Source organism: Homo sapiens, chromosome 6, assembly GCF_000001405.40.
Source record: "Homo sapiens chromosome 6, GRCh38.p14 Primary Assembly".
In the NCBI taxonomy this organism is placed as follows: Eukaryota; Metazoa; Chordata; class Mammalia; order Primates; family Hominidae; genus Homo; species Homo sapiens.
Genome location: NC_000006.12, coordinates 82,598,354 through 82,622,125, shown reverse-complemented (window position 1 = coordinate 82,622,125; position 23,772 = coordinate 82,598,354). Strand labels below are relative to the sequence as shown.

The following is a 23,772-nucleotide window of genomic DNA, read 5'->3' as shown; positions in this document are numbered from 1 at the left end:
CATACTATCAACATGGCTTATCACCATTGATATTAACTTTGATCACTTGACAAAGATGTTTGTCAGATTTTTTTTCAATGTAAAGTTATTTTTTTCCCTCATTTCCATACTGTACTCTTCAGAAGAATGCTACAATGCACAGCCCACATTTAAAGAGTAGAGAGTTAACGCTGCCCCTCCTGGAAGGTAGAGTATTCACATAGATTTGAAATTATTCTGCATATGCCACGGATTTGTTCACCTTTTCTGTAGTTTAATGTTATACAAATGGCCTTTTCAGAATGACTTCTTTTATTTAGCAATACACACTTAAGACATGTGGTTTGATAGCTCTTATTTTTTTATCATTGAATATTTTATCATGAAATAATTGTACTACAATTTACTTGTCCATTCATTTGTTAAAGGACAGCTCTGTTGCTTCCAATTTTTGGCAATTTAAATAAAGCTGCTATAAACTTTCACATGCAGGTTCTTGTGTGCATACAAGTTTGCAAATCAGTTGGATGTGTGATTACCCAGGATACCTAGGAGTATATTGCTAGATTGTATGGGAAGACTGGGTTTAGCTTTGTAAGAAACTGCCAAACTGTCTTGTTTTGTTTTGTTTTTTTTGAGATGGAGTCTCTCTCTGTCGCCCAGGCTGGAGTGCAGTGGCGCAATCTCGGCTCACTGCAAGCTCCGCCTCCCGGGTTCACGCGATTCTCCTACCTCAGCCTCCTGACTAGCTGGGACTACAGGCACCCGCCACCACGCCCGGCTAATTTTTTGTATTTTTAGTAGAGACGGGGTTTCACCATGTTAGCCAGGGTGGTCTGGATCTCGTGACCTTGTGATCCGCCCATCTTGGCCTCCCAAGGTGAGAAACTGCCAAACTGTCTTCCAAGTAGCTATTACATTTTGAATTCCCATCAACAATGAATGAGTGTTCCTGTTATCCAATCCTTAGCAGCAATTGACATATTGTCAGTTTTGTTTTGTTTCTCTGGATTTTAGCTACTATAAGTGCTACACAGTGCATTTCCCTAATGATATATGATGTTGACCATTTTTTTATATGCTTATTTTCTATCCGTGTATCTTCTTTGGTGAGAAGAGATATATCCAGATCTTTTGCTTGTGTTTAAGTTGGCAACATTTCATATTTCTAAGATTCTTTTATTAACCTCAGCTTGCTCTTTCTCTGTTTTCTTATCTTGGAATGAGAAGACGCCAAACAGACCTGCCATTTATATTCCAACTCCAGTGCAGAATTCCCTTGACACCCCCCTCACTATTCACCTGGGGCTCAGAGACACCTCCTTAACTCATGCAGTGCATATGATCTGCATGCCCATTAGGCATTTACCTATTGTGAATCTGCTGGTCTGGAAAAGAATCTGTTCCTGCTTCTGCTGCCTGATTGTGTGATATGTAGAGGGAAATTACTCTTGATAATTTGAATCTATTTGTCATTTCCCCTTGTCAAATTGTATGTGCGAAAAGCCTACAGAATCTACCATTCATTCTACAGCTCTTCCTGTCTCCTGCTCCTTCCTCCCATGGCCAGCACATCTCAAGGTGCAATCAATGCACCTAACATTTACTTCCAGCTGTACTACATTACTTGGTGTTATAGTCCATGAACAAATGAAAAAAGAGTTACTGATGCATGGGATGAAGGATGCTGCATTGATTGCTTTAGAAAAAAAATCCCAGTAAGAATGTGATGACCAGCTTCTACAAATACCCTGCATCTCCAAGGTCAGCAACATGATGGAAGAGGGAGAACAATCTCTTTAATCATGACAGCTCCCTTTATTAATCTCTTCGAATGAGCCCAGAACTTTTCTAAGCACTTACATTTTACATTTGCTAAGCACTTTACATATTATGACATTTAATGCTTACAGAAACCCCTGAAAGAGAAATAATTGTCTTCCATTTACAGATGAGGGCATAGATTATTCAGAGAAAGCTGAGAATTCAAACTCAGGACAGTGCAGTTCCAAAACCCATATTTCCAACCAGCATTGTTTTCCCTACTCTGGGTTTCGTACTTTTGGGGCAGGTCTATATTTAGGCTTCACTAGTGACAGTTCCTCCTGGAGTTTGGAAGATGGTGGTTAATATTCATATTTCCAATTCTGTGACGGTTTTGTGATTTTATAGTTAAGAAATTGGAGTCAAGTGAAGTATGAGTAACTCATTAGCTGCCAGCTCTACCCAACTCTCTCTATAGCCAATGTTAGAAAAATGAAGTTATAAAAACAGGTTTAAATTTTTAAATGACAATCTATATTCTGAATTACAAAACATTCCACTGTTCTTTATTTGTAATAAATTAAAATACTGTAAATATTTTTAGCTGATATAACACTTTTCATCTGAGATCTTTACCATCTCTGTCATTCATAAATCATCAAACTACTTTGGGAAGCAAAATTATTTAATAAATGGCCCTCATAACATTTGAAATTTAAAATGCTGAATTCTTTTATATTTTAAAGTATCCCTATGTTAATCAATAGAAAAAAAAAACAGTAATTTTTTTCCAAAACAAGAATGAGGCTCACATGTTGAGACTCCGGCTTAAAAAAAAAAAAAAAAAAGTGCACCTTCTATTCTTCTATCTCACCTCCTGAAACAATTAAAGTAAATTTTTTTAAGTTAAACTCTACCTGGTTAAATGTATCATGTGGACTTCTGGGACAGATTCAATGTTAACTTTGGCTAACGAAACTTATGATGTTATTCCTACTATTATCATTCTAGTTCAACACTTGTCTTCTTGCACCCGGATTATTGCAGTCATCTCCCAGCTGTACTTATTTATAGCATCCATTTCTCTTCTTCAAAACACGTACATGTTCAGTATTGTGCTAATCACTCCTGGGGAGCCTCTTTCACTTTCTGAAGTGGCAGTAAAGAGCTGGTCTTATATCCCATGGAAAGAGCATATCAGTTGAAGTCAGACAACCCTAAATTGGAATCCTATCCATTCTGCTGGTTAAACCTGAGCAAGTTACTTAGCCCAGCTAACCTTTAATTTCTCAAGGGAACCCTGAAATATTGCCATAAAATTAAATGAGACAAAGTACATAAATAAACATTCCTCATTTCCCTATCCAGGACTGGCACCCTATGGAACTTTACAGTTTCATTTCCCAAACAAATAGTAGATAAGCCATGCATTATCTACCATTTTTGAAACAAGTTTTGCATTTCCCTGTGCATTTTATCATGTATTCTCTCTGACTGAACTGTGCTTCCTTCCATATTTTTATCTGCCAAAAATGTCAGCCCTTTCCTGATCCAGCCTACCTTCTGACATGGAGGACCTTCTGATGGCTCAGCTCTGACATTTCCTAAGCTAAGATCCTGGGTGGGGCAGCCATAAAATAATACCTTCCCCATCCTAGTGGTGTATGTGTGATAACATATGGGCATGCATGCCCACTAACCCACAGACTTCTCTTAACTTCTATTACATTTCTCCAGTATGCAAAATTGTCGATTACCTGTACTTTAAAAACAGCACTCTGATCATTCCATATTAGGATTGCATCCTAGCCCTGGGCTCCCATCTTCTTGCCTGGGATCATGATGCTTCCTAATTTTTGATAGTTCCTACTCTAGAAGGCTATTACTACCTCTGATTGGGTCTTAATCTGCCTAAATGAATTCATATAAAATATCACACCTATTTATCTCGGCATCTTTCCTTGAGATAATGATGCTATAGACTATCTACAGGAGTGGATTACAATCTTGATTTCTGCCATGCTTTTTTGGGCATTATAATTTGGACTCTGGCTTCATATTTCGGGGACAAATTGTATAGCCAAGTAAATTTCTCCACCTCCCCAGGTCTAGCTGTTTATTCTCCTTAGTCTATGCATTGAGAATGGAGATCCCATCTTGCCTTGTAGCCATGTTCAGAAGCAATGAGCAACCCATCATTCATACCTAGCTCAAATGCTTCCTCTCCTAGAATCTCTTAATTTTCTTCCAGAACTCTCCTTTATTCAAAAATATTTATTAAGCATCTAGTATGTGCCAGGCACTTGGATGCAGCAGAAAAAAAAAAAAAAAGAAAATTCAAAACCCTACTCCTATGTTTTTTTTTTTTTTTTAACATGGTTTATTGTATTTTCATAGTGCCTCTTCTTAGTTAGTCATAAATGCTGTAATACAAGGGCAGGAAACTTAAAAAAATTAGTCTGTCTAACCACACCTGTAATGGGTTGAATGGTGGCCTGCCAAAAAATACATCCATGTCCTAACCCCTAACCTAAGAATGTGACCTTATTTGGAAAAAGAGTTTTTGCAGATGTAATTAAGGATCTTGAGATGAGATCATCCCAGATTATCTGGATGGGCCCTAAATCCAATGTCCTTATAAGAGAAGACACAAACACAGAAGTGAAGGCCATGTGAAGATAAAAGCACACATAAGAATTATACAGCCATGAGCCAAGGAATGCTTGGAGCCATCAGAGCTTCCTAGAAAAGGCAAGAAAAGATTATCTCCTCTAGCCTTTGGAAGGAGTACAGCCCGGCTGAAACCTTGATTTTTGGACTTCTGGCCTCTAGAACTGTAATAGAATATATTTCTCTTGTTTTAAGCCACAATTATCACAAATTTGTTTGAAATTTGTGATAATTTTTTACGGAAGCCACAGAAAACTAATATACCACCATACTTTGCAGATGACCAGAGCTGGCTAAAATCCTTAGAACCCACAAATAATAAAAGGATTACAGTCTTCACCCTATCCCATACAGGTTAGGACCTGTAATTTGAAAGAAAATCATTTCTAAATAGAAAAACAAATACCCATGCTGAAATTAAAATAGTTCCCTTTCAGCTTTTCTGATTATAAGATTCTAAAGAGTTCATAGAGTATGATTTGTTCTTTTGCTTCTTTTTTCTATTTTTTTCATTGCTCCATTTCTTTGGCTGTAATGCTTTTTTTTTTTTGCAGAACACAAACAATAAGCCAGCTCATAATGTGGGAATAAAGTGATACAGCATGGGAAGCACATGGTGCTAGTCACTTGGTAACTAAATATGCCTTCTCTTTATTTTGGGACTGGTGATGGGGTGGTGGCAAGGGTATAATGAAGACGAGACATACTTTGTTCCTTGGTCCTATCTACTGACTCAGTGGTTCGAGATCTATGAGGTAGAGACATGAGACAATTCTCCAGATAATTTGAATTAACTCAGCTCAACAGATTCATTCTACCTTGCAACTGGCATTTGGTGAATCTCACAGTTCTTCATTTCTGCACTACAGTTTTTCCAGTCACCAGATGAGGTCATCTGTGTTCTTCTCATTGAATTGTTCTAGAACCATGAGGCAAGATGTATCTGGGTCTGATTCCCAAGAAACAAATCTTAAAATTATTTTCCTTGAGTGGATGAGGAAAAAAGAAGCAAGAGCTTTCTCCTTGAGATGTTTCTGGATTTGTAGGTGGCTGATTGAGTGGCTATGAGCCGTGCATGAGCCTTAGCGTTTCTTCCAATTGAGAGTGAAAATAGCATAATTTCTTTGGGAAACTTTTTACTGTCAATTATATCTTACCTCCTGGAGAGACTAGCCAGACAGACTCCACTGACAATATGTAAAGGAAGCATCTTAAGTGCCACTTAGTTGTCCCCAGAGCTTTAGTCACTCATAATACTTCCTCAAGACTGTAAAAACATAACCCAAAATTATTTTACCTTTTTTTAAATTGAAGAATTCTTTGACCTTTCTCTAATAGTTGCTCCCTAGAAATTTCTTCTAGCTGAAGCCATACTTTACCCTGGCCTTCCAAACAAGTTAATGTCTTTGTACGCAGGTTTCCTCGTATTCGTTTGAAAATGGGGAAAATAATAACGACATTTCTTTCTTTTTGAGCCATAAAGTTATTTTCTGAACTGACTTCCAATTTATTTAGATCAAATAGACTAGCACTGTTATCACTAACAAGCATTCATATATCTGCCTTATCCCTACGCAAATGCGGCACATTTGTTATATACTACAGCAGATTCTTGGTGTTCGACTTCCTGTATCTTAAGTTAACCCTGAGTTCAGTCTTAGTAGAACTTAGCAGCTGATACAACTGTGTGATATACTCACTGTTTATAGCCAGCTTCTGTTCTGATTGACTGGTGTCCATGTTAAATACTTGGAATATCACCCTTGTTTAACTGCCATATTTTAAAACTGATCAGTGAAATAAATGGCTATAGGAGTCCATATAGTGCTTGTAAAGTACCACAGTGTTTGAAAAAGATTTTATTTCCTAAAATATGGTGAGTTAACTCCCAATCTTGGAAAGGAATGGGAAATCTAATGGGCAGTATTATACCTTGTAACCACTTAGGTTTGTTACTCCATTTAGTTTAAATGATAGATGTTGGAAGAGGCAATCTTCTTCTGTGGGCTCTGAGTATTCCTGCATGCTCTTTCTGGGTGTGCCAGCCAAGAACACAGGGTCTCGTCTGCTCTTTACGAGACATTTCTTAGAGTTGAGTTTGTAGTGAGTAACCTAACCTTGAAAGATGAGGTAATATTTTCCTGGAGACCAAAGGTAGGCTTGCTTCTGTTTAGTATAAAAACAATAAATCCCCAAGCTCAGTGTTCCTTTCCTGTAAATACAACCCATTTTCTTTGCAGGCATCCATCATGAGCCCTTTGTGTTGCCCCATACAACTTGGGGCACATGGGGACCTGAAGCAAGCAACCATGAAACTCTGGTCACTGCTTTTGCTATGAGTAATAAAGTCTTTTGTCTCCATCCCAGGAGTCTCATGCCTTTTGTCAGCCATCAGTGAAATAGTAACAGGCTCATTTGTTAGTTTGTAAGTAGAATAAAACCTTAACTCTTGCAGAGTTCCTGAGGGTTTTCAAATATTTCTTATGTAAACCCCAAAATAGGTCCTATAATGTTTATTTATATTGTTTCAAACAATTAGTGAACATAAACAGTATAGAATCTTGGTCTTTTATCCTGACTCTACCACTGAGTAAATGATCTTGAGTAAGTTTTTTTTTTCTTGTAGGCTTCTGTGTTTTCATCTGTAAAATGAAGGGGTTCAACTGTGCCCTGGGGAGTTGATGACAAGTCACTTCAAGGGCACTTGCATTAGTCCCTGGTTGTGGGTTGTTGGCTATGGCTGGGGACAATGATATAGCTGTGTTGACTGGCCTGGTCTCCTACCCTCAGCAGGGCCAGCAGCTGTAGACACTGTCCCTCATCAGCTCTCTTTCATATTTCTCTTACGTATGATTTCCTCCACACTTTTCCTCATACTTCCTAACTCTCTCATTTCCTTTTTCTCGGGAAAAAAACAATGCAGATCATCAGAATTTTTTCCTTTCTATCCCTTGAGCCACGGACTGTGCTCTGGATACCATCCATCTTATCAATCCAGGGCTGACACCTGGCAGGAAGAGATGACATGTGGTTTCAGACCACACAGTCATTAAAGTCTCTAAGAGTTCAGCAGAGAGGGAAATTACTATGAACTGGCATGTGGAAGAATGGGGAAGAGTGACCTGGACCTTCAAAGCTGGCATTCTGAAATACAGAAGGAGAGCCCTGCCTCAAGGACTTGCCTTCTAAGACTCTTTCCCTACAGGAATGTAGAATATTTATCTCAACAGGGAACACAAAGAGCTGGCTTTTGCTAAGTTGATCCACTGTCCCAATTTGCCAGAATTAAGGGTGTTCTTGAGACATGGGACTTTAATATGTTAAGCCAGGACAGTCCTGGGCAAACTCTACTAACATATTCTTCTAGATCCACACTTTGTGGTATAAGCTTTATGTCATAAGGTCCTCAAATATTAAGGTTTTGGAAGCTCAGACATCAAGAATTTGATGTAGCCCCCACTCCCCAAATATTGCTGTAACAATGTGCTTAGGAAAGGCAATAAACACCCCTGAATAAATGGAAGAAAGAAAAAATTAGAAAACATAGTAGAAAATGTTGGTTAACATAACATGTATTATCTTCCTATAGCTATCTTTAATAACTTGTAAACTAAAATGGTTTCATTATGATCCCTTTCTAATTAATTTCTAAGTAATGGGAGTGAAAATACTCATGAAAATATGCTTAGAGCAAAGAACTGATATAGAAAAAAAAATAAAAAGTGAAAGAAAAGGGCATAGAGAGAATGTATACCTATATAGCGAAAAGCAACTGTCAGGACATAAAATTAAATATGATTAATAATGGTTATCTCTGGGTGTTTATTTTTATTTCAATATTTATGCTTTTTTGTGTTTCTAATGTAACTATAATAACCACATATTACTTTTGTAGTAAAAAATAGCTGTTAATTGCAGCTTAAAAAATGAGAGAAGAAAAGATGTGTCAAGACCACAGTGGGAAGGACTATGTTAAGAAATATTAGGATTTCATGCTGGAGACAATGGAAATCAATTGGTGGCTTTTAAGCAGGAAAACCACTTATTGTTCTTGATCAGAGGAAGAGTTTTAGATCAGATTTTTGAAAAGGATCCTGATGGCACAAAGGGAGGTATTGCCCTGGCTGGAATATTTGGTTTTAAACATGGGTCTCTTATTTTCAAATCCAAAAGTAATAGAAGTGCGGGTCCTCTGACAGGTGACTTGAGATTCATTCAGGCCAGAGGGCCCAGCCCAGTGCCTGCCAAATATTTTGACATAGGTGAGCATTTATTTCTCCTACTCAAGTGGCCTGCCCTTTTCTTCATCAAAATCATTTAAAGGTCAGCTAGAAAACTTGTTGAAATTGTCAACTTCCACTTTCTCTGAATTTCTGGTAATCTGAAGTCTTCTGAGTTTAGCATCCCCCTTTCTGAAGTCTGAGTTTTTATGAGTTTGATTTTATATGATTGGTTGTACTAATTTGTAGTGATATATACTACCATGGTGCAATGAGGAACTGTGCAAAGAAACAAAGGATGTTTGTTTTATTTTATTTATTTATTTATTTATTTTTGCTAGATATGTTTGTTGGGGTTTGGGACTTTATGTAATTCTGTAATCACTTGCCAAAGAGAGAATTTGACTAAAAATAATATAGAGGGGCTTCATCAAGGAGTGTTTATAGATACATTAATTACTGTGACTTCGCACCAGAATATGAAGGAAATTATGACTTGTACTGAGTGCTTCTTAGTTCTCTTGCATTTTATTTAGGAATGAGAGTTAGGGGATTCAATGTGTGTGCTAAGGTAGCATGCTCTAGACAACACTATAAAACCATGAGTCACCTAGGGTCTCTGAGGGAGGCCTTGGCTTCTCTAACTGTGGAATTTAAAGCACACAACTGTATTGTGTGATTTTTTCTGTTCTGTGTTTTCAGCAGCATTATCTGAAAAGAATTTTCAGTCTGCTGCTTGTATGCCATGCTGTTGTCATCTTACTGAAACATGAAGTGATTTAAGCTTCACAGCTGTTATTGTTTTCAATGGAGCAGCTGCCTGGCACTTCCAGGGACAATGACAGGTTCACATGGAGGCTATCTATGCAAATTACAGTAGAAGGTTGAGCAATAATCTGGTGAATTTGATCATTACAGACAGTCTAAATAATTCAGATGCAGATAGTGTAAAGTTCTTTCACTGGCCAGAGCAATGCAACAAATTGCTTTAGTTCCTTCACTTGATTTAGTGACTTTGGACTTAGCCTTAGTGATCAATTTAATAACCAAATTCATAAGAGACTGATGTATGAAACTAAATGCCAATTTACAATGAGAACCACAGTTCATGCCAGTAGATTCTCTCTTCATAGGAAGAGCTATATGTGAAAATTACTATAATCAGAAGATGAACTTATAATAACAGCCTGAGCAGGCATAGTCAGCTGTTTTAATCAATAATAATCTCAGCTGTAGGAATAAAACTACTCAGTAATAGATCCAGGATTTTGACGCCAGAAAGCATAGGGCCTTTAGCCATTAGATCATGTTGTCTGGAACATTTTTTTCTCTATTAGTTTTAGTTTTGCTCCCAAAATTCCAATTTATACACCTTAATTGACTTGAGTACTTTCTAAATCTGCTTCCCAGGTTCACACATAAAATTCTGAATCATATCTTTAGATGGCAATCCCATCCAGTCTAGGTTGATTTCCTGTGTGTCAATTCTCAGGCACTCTGGACTCTAAGAACAGATGACATGAGGTTTCAGACCACACAGTCATTAAAGTCTCTAAGAGTTCAGCAGAGAGGGAAATCACTATGAACTGGCATGTGGAAGAAGGGGGAAGAGTGACCTGGACCTTCACAGCTGGCATTCTGAAATACAGAAGGAGAACCCTGGAGACTGCGACTAAATCTGCTTGCCTAGATGAAAAGGTAATGCTGCAGAGAAGTACAGATAAAGATGGAAATTCACTCTGAGGCCAGATTGTGGAGGTTCTTAAATGCCAGTATAGTAAGTGTGGATTCATTTTAGCAGCTACTGTGGATGCCTAAGAGCTTTGGTTTAGAGGAATGACATGATCAGTCCAGGGCATGAGAAAAATAAATCTGACAACCTTTCACAGAAAGGAGGAATGGAGAATAGAAGCAGAGGAAACAGGTAGGAGACTGTAACCCTAGCCCAGATAGAGGTGAAATTGAAATGAGTTTCAGACCAAAGTCAGGTATAGAGACTGTATTTGTTGCTGATTGCTGCTGTAAAAAATGACAACAAACTCAGAGTCTTAAAGTAACACTAATCTCTTCTCTTACAGTTATGGAGGTCAGGGTCAAAAATCATGGCATTGGCAGGACTGCTTCCTAGTGTTTCTCAGCTTCTGGAGACTGTCTGCATTTCTAGGCTCATGGCCTCTTCCTCCATCTTCAAAGAGCATTACTCCAACCTTTGCTCCTTTTGTCCCATCTCCTCCTTCTGCCTTGTGATCTTCCTGCCTCTCTTGTATAAGCACCCTTGTGATTACTTTGTGCCCACCTGGCTCATCCAGGATTGTCTCCCCATCTCAAGGTCTTCACTGAATCCCATCTGCAAAGTCTTTTATGTCATGTTAGGTATCATATTGTCAAGTTGTGGGGATGGGGATATGGACATTTTGTGGAGAAGTGCCTTATTCAGCCTACCACAGAGACACAGAAACATCCACCTCTCACTGTTGTCTCACACTACTTCCCTTTCAAAGACACCGAGCTCCAAAGGAACGTGATGACTTATATCCAAAACGTACCTTGTTATTTGCTGCTTTTAATTCTGTTCTTTTCTTTGCCTAGAATATCTTTTCTCAATATTGACCGCCTCAAATGCTTCCATCCCCAAAAATCTTTCTGCTATCCTCCCTCATCCCCTCCCTTTGACTTATGACTTGAGGAAAGATTCTCTCTCCTTTGTCTTCTGCCTATACTTTATATGACTCCTGTTATTTTAACAAAAACCTTTATTTTGAAATAATTTCAGACTTTCAAACAATGCAAACATAGTAAAAAAATTGCTCATACTGTTTGCTCACTGTCTTCAAATCTTAATAACTTGAATAGCCATAGCATAGTGATCCAGACCAGGAAATTAATATTGCTACAATACCATTAACTAATCTACAGACTTGATTGAGATCCTAACAATTTTCTCACTAATGTCCTTTATCTGGTCCAGAATCACATGTTGCATTTAGCTGGCATGCTTCTTTGATTTTCTTCAATCAGAGACAGCTTCCCAGTCTTTCTTTGTCTTTCATAGTCTTACTACTTTTGAAGAGTCTTGACAGTTATTTTGTAGAATGTCTCTTTATCTGGGTTCATTCATGTTTTCTCCTGATTTGATTCAGATTATACATTTATGGCATGGATATCTCAAACGTGAGGTGCCCTCTCGGTGCATCGTATCAGGAGTTAAATTACATTGGTATGTCTCATTACTTGGGATATGTAACCACTAGTTTAAAATGGTGTCTGCTAGGTCTTCTGTTGCTCTTAGCACATTTAGCCTTGTACTGTATATACTTTTGTCAGCATGTTAGGACTGGAGAGGATCAAAGCAATGATTTGGCAATAATAGAAAAGTAACATAATATCAGGTAATTTATACTAAGGATTTAGCATATGCTAGGAACTACACACATTAGTTCATCTAATCCTTAAAATACCCCTTTAAAGTTGACACTTTATCAGCTCCATTTATCTTTTTGGAGAAGACATTCCTGGTTGACAAGTACTGTCTTGAGAAGAGGGAATACAACTTGCTCATTTTTATCCCACACAGAGCCTAGTACAGCACTCTACATAAAGTAAGGGGTAGAAAATATTTGTTAAGTTAACTTAAATTGAAATTAAATGGAAGGCAGAATCTTGAGATTGTATAACTAATTAATGTCAACAAAGGAGAAGGAATCCTGGGTAATTATGAGTTGCTGAGTTTGTGGGAGGGGAACACATATAGGAAATGATTTCTTTTCAAAGGGGCAAAAAGTTGGAACTTTTGTTGGCCAAAGTATGAAGAGTGGCTTAAAAGCAAAGACTTGGAAGTACATTCACATTTATTTGGCAGAAGAAAAATCGGTAAAGGAGAAAAGGAGTGAAGTGTAAACAAGGTAGAAGAAGCAAGATAATGTAGGCTTATGGCTACACAATTTTAAAATCTGAAATGAAGAAAATTCAGTGGGAATACACATAAAGCCATTCTTAAATTACAATCAATATTTTGGGAAAACTGTAAAAACACATTTGATGAAGTTGTTACTGGTTTTTAAAAATTTAGGCAACACACAATTATCCATAGTAGTCCATAGTAATGGAAAAGAACAATATCAAGCATAAATCAGAAGAATGGATGATTCTGAACATGTAGAAGTGACTATAAAGCACATTGTGTATGATTTCTGAGGCAGCATATTTCCCTTTCAATGACTGCTGAATTTAGATGAAGAACAGCTTTTATTTCTTAATACAAAACCTGAGTGCTGGAAGGGAAAGAAAACTGGAATTTGAAAAGTGGTCACATGTTTATAGTTGAGGGCTTATTATAAATATAAGACTGTTTCACAGTGTTCTAAATGTAAGCCCTTTCTGGCTTTATCAACCTTCCAATTTTACAATAAAGGAGATCAGGTCACTGGACCAGAACTCAGACCTGGCTTCTATTCTTAGCGTGGCCACAAACTGTGTAGTGAAGCGGGGAAATTCATTCTGGCCCTTTGGGCCCCGGACAAGGAGGTTATTAACTAGACGATCTCAATGATCCCCTGTGGAGCTAAATCTCTGAAGCTGGTTCTGTTGTTTAGGGAAGGCTAACTATATAACTGGTTTGCATTACATACAAATTTTATTTACTAGATTATTTGACATATGTAAGTACTTCCTTAAAAGCAGAGTTTTCTGGAGAAAAGTGTAAGTGGAGAGATTCATTGCCAGAGCGACATAGCATGGTAATTGTAGAATTAAGAATTACAGGGATAGCTTTCTATTTAAAACAAGCTTGGCATTTTCCATTTGTTTGGGGTTTTCTCTGAAGCATTAAGGATGGCCCTTGCCGTTTAGTTCTCTCTCCCTGTGTCCTTGGATGAGCTGCCTTTGTGTGAGAGATTGGTCTTGGAAGCCCAAAGCAGCCAGGAACAAAGGTGTGAAGCTGGAGTGCCCAGCAATTCTTCAGAGAGGACAGATGGAGTCAGGAACTAAAGAGGGGAGGAGCCTGACAAAGGAATGAAATTAATTTGGATGGGACCCATGGAGATTGGATGAAGTCAAATAGTTTATCAGTAGGAGGGCTTATTTTACATCCAAAGTAGTTTTCCTCTGAAAGAAGACCCCTTAATGATGGGAAACATTCTTTCTTCTTCCATGGCAATCTCTGTTTTAAGTCTTTATTCTTGCTTCTTCCCTCCTCAACTTTGTTGTCCTTCCTCCCCCTTTTTGCCACTCCCCTCCCATTTTTCTCCTTCCCTCCCCCTCTTAACACTCTTTCATGATTAGATTAATTTGTTTGCCCAGACAAGGGGAAGAATAGTTTGCAGACTTGTAAGAACAGGCTTCCTTTCCCAGTGCACATTAAGCCTCAAAACACTGAACTCCTCTCACTGCCCTGTGAGCAAGAAAAAGGGACACTTAGTCCTAAAACAAAAGAAAAGACTCTTGAAATCTTTTAAAATTGAAGTAATGAAAGTCCTGCTGTAGTGAGGAAAGGAGAAGCGGTGTGTGTGTGTGTGTGTGTGTGTGTGTGTGTGTGTGTGTGTAGACAGACTATAAGGCTCTGATAAAGATGGATGCCAAGGTTACAGAGGATAGGAGGGTAGAAGGAAGCACACAGGAGCCTTGAAGAAGGAGAGATAGTTTGAGTTGAATATATGTCTGAAATAGTGCAATTTTCACACTATCAAGTTCATAGTCCCAGGAAGAGGGAGACTGGAGTAAGTCTGAGCAAGCTACTTAACCTCCCTGAGTCTGTTTCCTAAAATAAAATGGGCACATTCACACTTTCTCACAGTGTTTTTGGAGGGGGACATAATAAGTCATTCATGTGCTAGTGCTTAGAGAGTTGTGTGATATTAGATACAGTTTTGGGTATTAACTTGCCCATCTGTAAAATGGGAATAATGATGGAGGGTTTTCATGGGAATTTAATGAGATAACAGAGCCTAGCGTAAGGAAATGCCTGATTCTTGTTTATTCTCTTATTTTCCCTTGGGTACAGCTTATCTTAAGTATTGGGAAGTAATAGTAGGTTGGTTTGTATTACTCATCTTTAATACTAGCCTAAAAGCATAGTTAAAAACTTGAACTTACTGAAAATCATATAATGCATTATACAGTAAAATAGAAAAGCATTTAATGTGGTTTGTTGTGTTTAAATTATCAATTGACCATTGATAATAGCTAACTCAGAGTGCACTCTGTATGAGCAAATGGTTAACATAACACAGTTTCTAATTTGTGGTCTCATCTGCTTACATTATAATCAACTGGTGTTGTGTGGGCATCACCCAATTAGAATGGACACCCTTGTGATAGTTTGCACCACATATTCTCACTCATAGGTGGAAATTGAACAATGAGAACACTTGGACACAGGGTGGGGAACATCACACACTGGGGCCTGTTGTGGGGTGGGGGGAGGGGGGAGGGATAGCATTAGGAGATATACCTAATGTAAATGATGAGTTAATGGGTGCAGCACACCAACACGGCACGTGTATACATATGTAACAAACCTGCACGTTGTGCACATGTACCCTAGAACTTAAAGTATAATAATAATAAAAGAAAGAATGGACACCCATCACAGTGCTGCAGCAGGGCCTCTGAGGCCCCTCACTGTGACATGCCGGACATTAACCCTTGAATTGCCAGAGCCTGGGCAGCTTCAGGGCTCTGGGGAAACAGGAAGTTCCTTCAAGGGGTTGTGGGTAGTGACTGTTTAATAACTGGTATAAAAATATTTTGATATTTTTTAAACGGAAAGGATAAGCCAGTGCAGAAAGACTGAGTATCCTAGCTCATCTGGAACTCCATAATAACCTAATGCAAACAAAAAAAAATCACTATACCATCCCACTTCCCCTCAAACAACAACTCTCAACTCATTGTATCATTGACTAGCAAGTTTCTGAATGGGCTTTCAAGTCACAGAAGAACCTTATTCTTTTGATAGGACAATAGAATGAGGGAAAAACAGGTAAATTCTAGGACGGGATCTCAGAATAGGCATAGAACAGGTGGCTTGTGCTAAAAATTACCTACCCTACTTTTAACACTTTTCCACTTAGTAGGAATCAATTTCCATAATTATTGCTGTGATGTCTGGGCCTATCAATCGTTCTACTTCAGAGAGATTTATTTAGTTAATTATGTTGAGGATCTGGGAACTTTGATTGGGATAGTGGTATGAGGAGAGAAAAGAGATCATTTGGAAGGTAATTTACTTTAGAAGAAAGCAGACATGGTGGAAGAGAAGCATTAGAACACTTGGACATCCATGAAGTAGTCCTAAAGTTACTGGCTGCCTAGTAGTTAGGGGAAAAGGATTTCCAAAAAGGAGGAGACTTCAAGCCCCCCATCCTGATGACTGACCCTTTCCACACATCCCATGCTTAGGACTTGTGTGGCATCAGATGCAAATACAGGTTCCAGAATAAGAAACAGACCGATCAAATGCACATGGCAGTTCTTGCTGAAGCTGCAGCTGTGCTGGGTAGCATCATCTAATAAGGGTGTACCTGAAAACACAGATGAAAGAAAAGAGTTGGAAGGCAGCCAAGAGTAATTTCTCCCTAATTAGGAAGAGAATCATAAATTTACCTATGACATTTAATGGCCAGGAACTTAGATTTGGGGGGAGATCACTTGAAGAGCAGTGAGGCTGGAACAGAGGTAAGACGGAGTCATAGAGAGTCCCAAGCATTGTTTCAACTGGGAATACCCTGGAAGACAGTCAATAGCTAACTCACCAACACCAACTGCTTCACCACTGAGATGGCCTACTTGGAGGGCAGCCTCACATGAAGAAATCTTGTTCAATAAGAGTCAATTGCTAGGATTATGGCTCAGGGCATAAAGCTTCCAGCTGAAGTCCTTAGCAAACATAGATACTAGTTTAGTGTTGCAACTGAAGTAAACTGTCATCAATAATAATGTTTATAATTTAAGTTCTGTTATGCTATTTTCTTTCTTTATCCAGAATTCCTGAAAAAATGGGAATATTCTGGTGAATAGATTTTTTTTAAAGGAATTGTCTTTAGGACTATATAAGGAAGCAACAATTACTAATAATTGAAAGATAATAAAATATGCTTAAAAGTACAGTAATTCCTTTGTGATTTTTAAGAAGCCCTTGAGGAACTCATATTGCCTAAAACTCATGAGAGGCACCAAGTTCAGGATGTCAAATACTGTTCTTAATCTGATGGCACCAAAGAAATACACTTCAGAAACTGGTTTTTAAATTGTTTTAGCTAAGATTTCTTTTCTCAGTGTTCTCAAAACTAGACTGTAAAAAGTACATTAAAAACCATCAAATTTGGATGTATATCATTTTAACACTTATGCTGAATAAAAAGTTGATCTTATTTTTTTGACAATTTTGGGTTGTGACCTTGTTTGACCAAAAGATGGCTTTTATCCTAATTTAAGAGACATTATTCCCTAATTTCTTTTGCTAGAGTAATTGTTTGAAAACCAAAATCAGAAGAGTTTTCAACAGAACTCAGAGCTTACTGACTCCTAAACTTCAATTTAGTATAAATCTATTTCCTTAGAAGGGATCTATTTCCTAGTAATTTTAATAGTTATTTTAAAAATTGAGATATAATTTACACAGTGAAGTGCACAGATCTTTAGTTTCACAGTTTGAATTTTTACATATTTATACACTACTGTAACCACCACCTAATTAAGATATAGAACATCTTTACCACCCAAGAAATTTCCCTTATCTTCTTTGCCAGTCAAGCCCTGCCACTTTCCCTCCCTCAAAGCAAATGCTGTTCTGATTCCTATCAATATAGATTCGCTTTCTGTAGTATAGTACTGCAGTGTGGGAGATTGAAGATGCCCATACACTTTTTTTTTAAAAACAGAGTCTTGCTCTGTTGCCTGGGCTGAAGTGCAGTGCCACGATCTCGGCTCACTGCAACCTTCTCCTCCCGGGTTCAAGTGATTCTCCTGTCTCAGTCTCCCTGAGTAGCTGGGACTACAGGTGTGTGCCACCACACCTGGCTAATTTCTGTATTTTTAGTAGAGATGGGGTTTCACCGTGTTGGCCAGGCTGGTCTCAAACTCCTGACCTCAGGTGATCCGCCCGCCTCAGCCTCCCGAAGTGCTGGGATTACAGGTGCTCAGCACCCCCATACACTCGTTGACATTCCTTCCATCACAAAGTGGGATCTACGTCCCCTAGCTTTGAATATACAGTAAGAGCTTAACTAATGGAATACAGTCAAAGTTATGCTGTGCCAGTTTTCAGGCCTGTGCTTTAAGAAACTGGCAGCTTCTGCTTCCTGAATCTTGGGATACTCTCTCTTAAAGCCCAAATGGCATACTGTGAGGAAGTCCAAGTACCCCATAGAGAAACCCATGAGGAAAGAAACTGAAGCCCTAGCCAACAGCCCTGGCTGAGTTTCCAGTCAACACCCAACACTAATTTTCCAGCCATATGAGTGAGCTATGTTGGAAGTATTAATAGTTCTGACAGTCTCAGTAGAGCTGCCTGGCAGATACTGTATGGAGCTGAGATGAACCACTCTCATGAATCTTTGTTCGAATTGCAGATTTGAGGCCAAAATGGATGTTTGTTTAAACCATTAAGTTTTGGATGGCCTGTTTCACAATAGGTAACTAGAACATTTATATAAATAGAATCCTACCACATGTACTTAAAAAAAATCTGACTATAATGGTTAGTTTCATGTGTCAACTTGAATGGGCCATGGGGTGCCCAGATTAAATATTATTTCTGGGTGTGTCTGTGAGGATGTTTCTGGATGAGATTAACATTTGAATAGGTGGGCTCAGTAAAGGAGATTGTTCTTCCTAGTGTGAGTAGCCATCATCCAATCCATTGAGAGCCAGAATAGAACAAAAGATGGAGCCAGGAAGAATTTAGCCCCTTTTTTTTCTGCCCAACTACTTGAGCTGGAACATCTCATTTCATCTTCTGCCCTTTGACTGAGATTTACACCATTGTCTCCTCTGGTTTTCAGGCCTTTGGACTTGGCTGGAATTACACCACTGGCTTTCCCAGGTCTCCAGCTCACAGATGGCAGATGCTAGGACTTCTTGGCCTCCATAATCATATGAGCCAATAGACCATAATCTCCCATATATATCCCATTGGTTCTATATCTCCTATTGGTTCTGTTTCCCTGTAGAACCCTAGCTAATACACTAACTTCCTTAGCTCAGCATTTTAAAAAGTATATCCACGTCACTGCATGTACTGGTAGTTTATTCCTTTCTATTGCTAAGTATTATCCCATTAAATAAATACACTGTAATTTGTATATCAATTTTTATGTTGAAGGAGATTTGGATTGTTTCCAGTTTTTGCCTACTGTGAATGATGTTGCTGTGAACATTCATGTGCAAGTTTCACGTGGATATTTGTTTTTATATCTCTTGGGTAAATATCTAGAAGTGGAATTGCAGTGTCATATAGTACATATAAGTTAAAGTATTTTACTTAATAAAAATACTGCCGAATCTTTTTCCAAAGCCACGGCCAAATTTTACAGTTCTATCAGCAATGTTATACGAGTTCTTGTTTCTCTACATTCTTTGCATACTTTTATATTGTCAGTCTTTTAAATTTTTACCATTCTTGTGGGTGTTCAATAACATCTTATTCTTATAATTTGCATTTTTTCAATGAGTAATAATGTCAAGTACTTTTCCATGTTCTTATAGCCATTTGGTTCTTCCTTTGAGAAGTATCTGTGCAAGTATTTTTTTCATTTTGAATTGGGTTGTCTTTTTATTACTGAGTTATATGATATTTTTATATATCCTGATATCAGTTGCTTTTTATGCATAGGTTTTGTGACTATATTCCCCTAGTGTGTGTCTTATTCATTTTCTTAATATTATCTTTTGATAATTAGAAAACTTTTATTTCAATTAGGTCTAATTTATCAGTTTTTTATAATTAGTGCTTTCTGTGTGCTAAGAAATTTTTCCTACCCTAAGGTTGTGAAGATACTCTCCTATATTTTCTTTTAGAAGCTTCACAGTTCATATTTCAAATCTATAACCCAACTCAAATTAAATTCTGTACATACCGTGAGTTAGAGGCCATGTTTATTTTTTTCCCCAAGTGGGTATATGGTTGCTCCACCACCATTAATTAGAAAGAATTTCACTTACTCATAGGGTATTTTTGCCTCTGTTGAAAATTGATTGTATATGTATGTGCCTCTTTCTAGATTCTCTCATCTGTTTCATTGATCTACTTTTCTAATTCTATATCAATGCCACACTATCTTGATTAACATAGCTTATAGCAAACCTTGAAATCAGGTAACATAAGTCCACCAACTTTATTTTTTTCCAAATTGTTTTACTATTACATATCTTTTGCATTTTCATGTAAATTGTAAAATTAGGTTGTCAATTTCTATATAAAAAGCTTGCTTGGATTTTGACTGGACTATGCTGAACCTATGAATCAATTTGGGGACAGTCAACATCTTAAAAATGTAGAGTCTTCTCATCAGTGAACATAGTGTATCTCTCTTTTTACACAAATGTTTATTCTGTCTCACAAAGGTGTTTTTAGTGTAGAGGTTTTGAGAATCTTTCATTATATTTTTAATGATTGATTTTAATTAATTGTTCAAAAGTAGATATTGAAGCACCTATGTGTCATACACTGTTTCAGGTGCTTTATACACAAGATCAGCAAGTCTTCTGTTTTCATTCTGGAAGGAAAGACAAAAACAAACAATAAACATATATGCAACATAGCTTTACATAGTAATAAAGGCTATAAAGGAAATAATGCTCCATAAGAAATAGAATCATGGATATGTACATTTTTGATGGGGTCATCAGGGAGCATCTCTCTGAGAAATTGACAATTGAACAGAGGCTTACATCATGTTAAGGAGCAAGTCATAGTAAATATCTGAGGGAATAACTTTCTGGACAGAAGAAATAAGGGGCAGAAATAAGCTTGGTATATTTTGACAAAAGCCAGAAGAATTGCCGGTAGTTTCAGAATGTAATTTTAAGATATTCTCATCTGATTCCTTCTATTTTCTCAAGGAATAAGAATTGATATGATTATTTGATAATGAGTGGGACAGATATTGGAGAGAGGAGAAATACAAAATGTTCTTTTGTGAAATGAGAGAACAGTAATACAAGAGAAGTGTGGCAGTATTGCTTGGGCACTTGGGAGTGTTCTTTGAGATCTGGATCATGAATTGAATAGTAGTTAGTAATGATTGTGTATTGTATGGCAGGAAAATTAGTCTGTTAGAGAGCAGATGGAGATTTGGTGTGGAGTTGGGTTTAACTAGCACTGAGTTTGTTTCCTTTTCCTAGTAAGAATGTCATAGAAGAAGATGAGGAGAAGAGTTTAGAGTACATTCAATGGGATGATTACAGTGATGATTAATGGAAACCAAGCTGGGAGCAGTGAGAATATAAAGGGAATGAGAAAGTTTTAAAAATTTGCCAATGGACTGGAGAACCAACTACCTTTGGAGTTGGGATGTTGAAATAGATGATCTGGAAAGACAGGAATTGGTAAAGTATAGGCTGTTTGAAGATTTTGGAAGTGGAGCAATGAGTACTGATACTGAAATTTCTAAGACGTAGCCTTGGGATTGGATTGCTACAGTGAGGAGGAGAAAATAAATTGTTGAAATTGAGTTAAGGAACAAGAAGAGTGTTAAGTGGATATTGACATGAATAGGGAACTCACTAAGAATGATGAAAGAAATAATAGTGGAGGGAATGATAAATGAGAAAGAGCCATCCAAAGGTTGATGGTGATGATAATAAAGAATGGTACCCAGGGGTACAGTATGATGGAAAGTGCTTTAAAGGTCAGGAGTTTTGGGGCTGAATGTCGTGGCTCACACCTGTAATCCCAGCACTTTGGGACGCTGAGGTGGGAGAATCACTTGAGTGCAGGAGTTGAGATAAGCCTGGGCAACATGGCAAAACCCCATCTCTACAAAAAAAATATAAAAATTAGCTGGGTGTGGTGAAACGTGCCAGTAGTCCCAGCTATTCAGGAGGCTGAGATGGGAAGATCGCTTGAGCTTCGGAGTTCAAGGCTGCAACGAGCTGTAATTGCATCACTGCACTCCAGCCTGGGTGACAAAGTGAGACCCTGTCTAAAAAAAAAAAAAAAAAAAAAAAATCTAGGGAAGAGCTAAAGAAGAATTATAAGAGTGCATTTCCAAGAATACAGTGCAAAAGTTTGGGAGGTCAAAAGAGATTTTGGAATAGGGATAGACATAGCTCTATGAAGGGACAAAGTGTGGATAATGAAGGATGATCTGAGAAGTTTGGACTTCTAGCACTGCCTGAGATAAATAAAGTTGTGAGGCATGATGAGTTTCCTTCGAATGATTTCTTCTGGGAAAGTGTATGATCAGTTCTAATCATAAGACACTTATGCCATTTGTGGTGGTAAGTGAGGTGATATTGAAGTCAGGAGAGGCAAAGTTGCACCAGGAGAACTTAGAACTCTGTAGGCCTCTCTTACATTCATAAAATGCATGATGAATGAAACAAAATCTCATGGACCTCACACACTTGTCAGTGGACATAAAGAGAATCATCAGTTTGTATTTATAGATTTTAAAATGGTTTGTTACTTCTAAAAGAGAGGCTTGGGCATGCAAGAGGACTTGAAACAAGTTGAGACACATTATTGGTCAACTGTTAGGATGTGTTTGCCTTCCTTTTTAATTAATCCAAGTATTAAACACCATTTAAAAATGGTATAAAAGATCAGGGCAGTAATCCTACCAAAATAAAGACTGACAATAAACACTATTATCTATATTAATAATAATAATATTTGAGATTATTAATAACTATTATTATTTGCATATATATCTCATTAGAGCACATTATGTCATTAAACAAGCCAAGCCTATTGTTTGCAATATAATTTTTCACACTTATGAAAAAATTGTAGTTGCCCACAAAGATTTTAAAAAACATATCCTTTGTGCTTATGTTTATTCAAACGTTTAAAATCTATTTCTTCAACTGTTTAAATCTATGTTCTTCAAGTGTTTAGCTTTAATCCAAGAAACACCTTTCTTATCCGGATTTACTCTTTGATTTTTCTTTATCAGCTTGAGACAGGAAAAAAAATGTCTGTAATAATGAAGACAGAAAAAAATCTGTATTTATTATTAATCTTGTGTTCTAGGCTGGAAAACTGATGTCTTATATTAATACTTGGGTAAATGAAAGAAAGTTTTCCTATATGACTGTATCTTGGAAAGTGGTTGTCTCCCTATTTTCTCCTTTTCTGCTTGTTCCCTTCTGGGGAGAGCTCTTCTGTCTTATGGTTTAGATGATTCTTTTTCAGCAGCTGCCCTGCAAATTTATTTCTCTACTTAAAACCCCTTTCTCTCTGCTCAGCAGATCCTCCCTACCTGACACTCAGATGTATCAACTTAGATGTTTTTTTCTCTTTGCAAGTTAAACATGGAAAAGACAAAAATAGAAAAGCTCATTAATCGTTGTAAGGAAAATATGTCAGAGAGAGAAAAAGAAGTTATGTTATAAGGGCAACCACAGTGTTGATTTTTAGCAAGTTGACCCAGGATCATCCTTCATCAAATAGCTGTAATGTAGTTCACAGTTTGGATCATGCAAATATTATGAAATACTTATTTGACTTATACATTTATTATTAATGAATGATAATATTAGTAATAAACTTGAACTAGACTCAGCTGCTTCATTTGGCGATATAATACAAATAAACCCCATGTTCAGATAAATAGAAAAAAAGCAATAAAAACAATTTGCCAAAGGGCCCATTTCCCACTTGCTATGACAGCTTTCTTAATTTGCTTTCTAAGCCTTTACTCATTTTCTCATTTATTGCAACAGTTTCTGGTTTGGGAAGTAAACAAGGTTACATACAAAATTGTAATTAAATTTTTCTTCAAGTTCAATCACCAAAGAATTGGGCTTAGAGGCAAAGCAAATGTTTCATGGTATAGCAAATGGGAATCTTCTTAATTTATTCAGAAGAATAAAATAAACCTGGCCTGGAAAATCTGAAATGGGAGAAGAAGTTGTAGCCTTGCTAAACCTGTCTCACAGGTGAGTAAATATAATAGAGAATGCATTTTCTTTTTAG

The 23,772-nt window shown here is 37.4% G+C and overlaps 1 long non-coding RNA gene across 2 annotated transcripts in view; it reads left to right on the top strand.

Moving 5' to 3' along the window:
• Positions 1-23,772, top strand: part of LOC105377876 (uncharacterized) — a 90,717-nt gene that overhangs the window by 66,359 nt on the left and 586 nt on the right. The window lies entirely within an intron of this gene.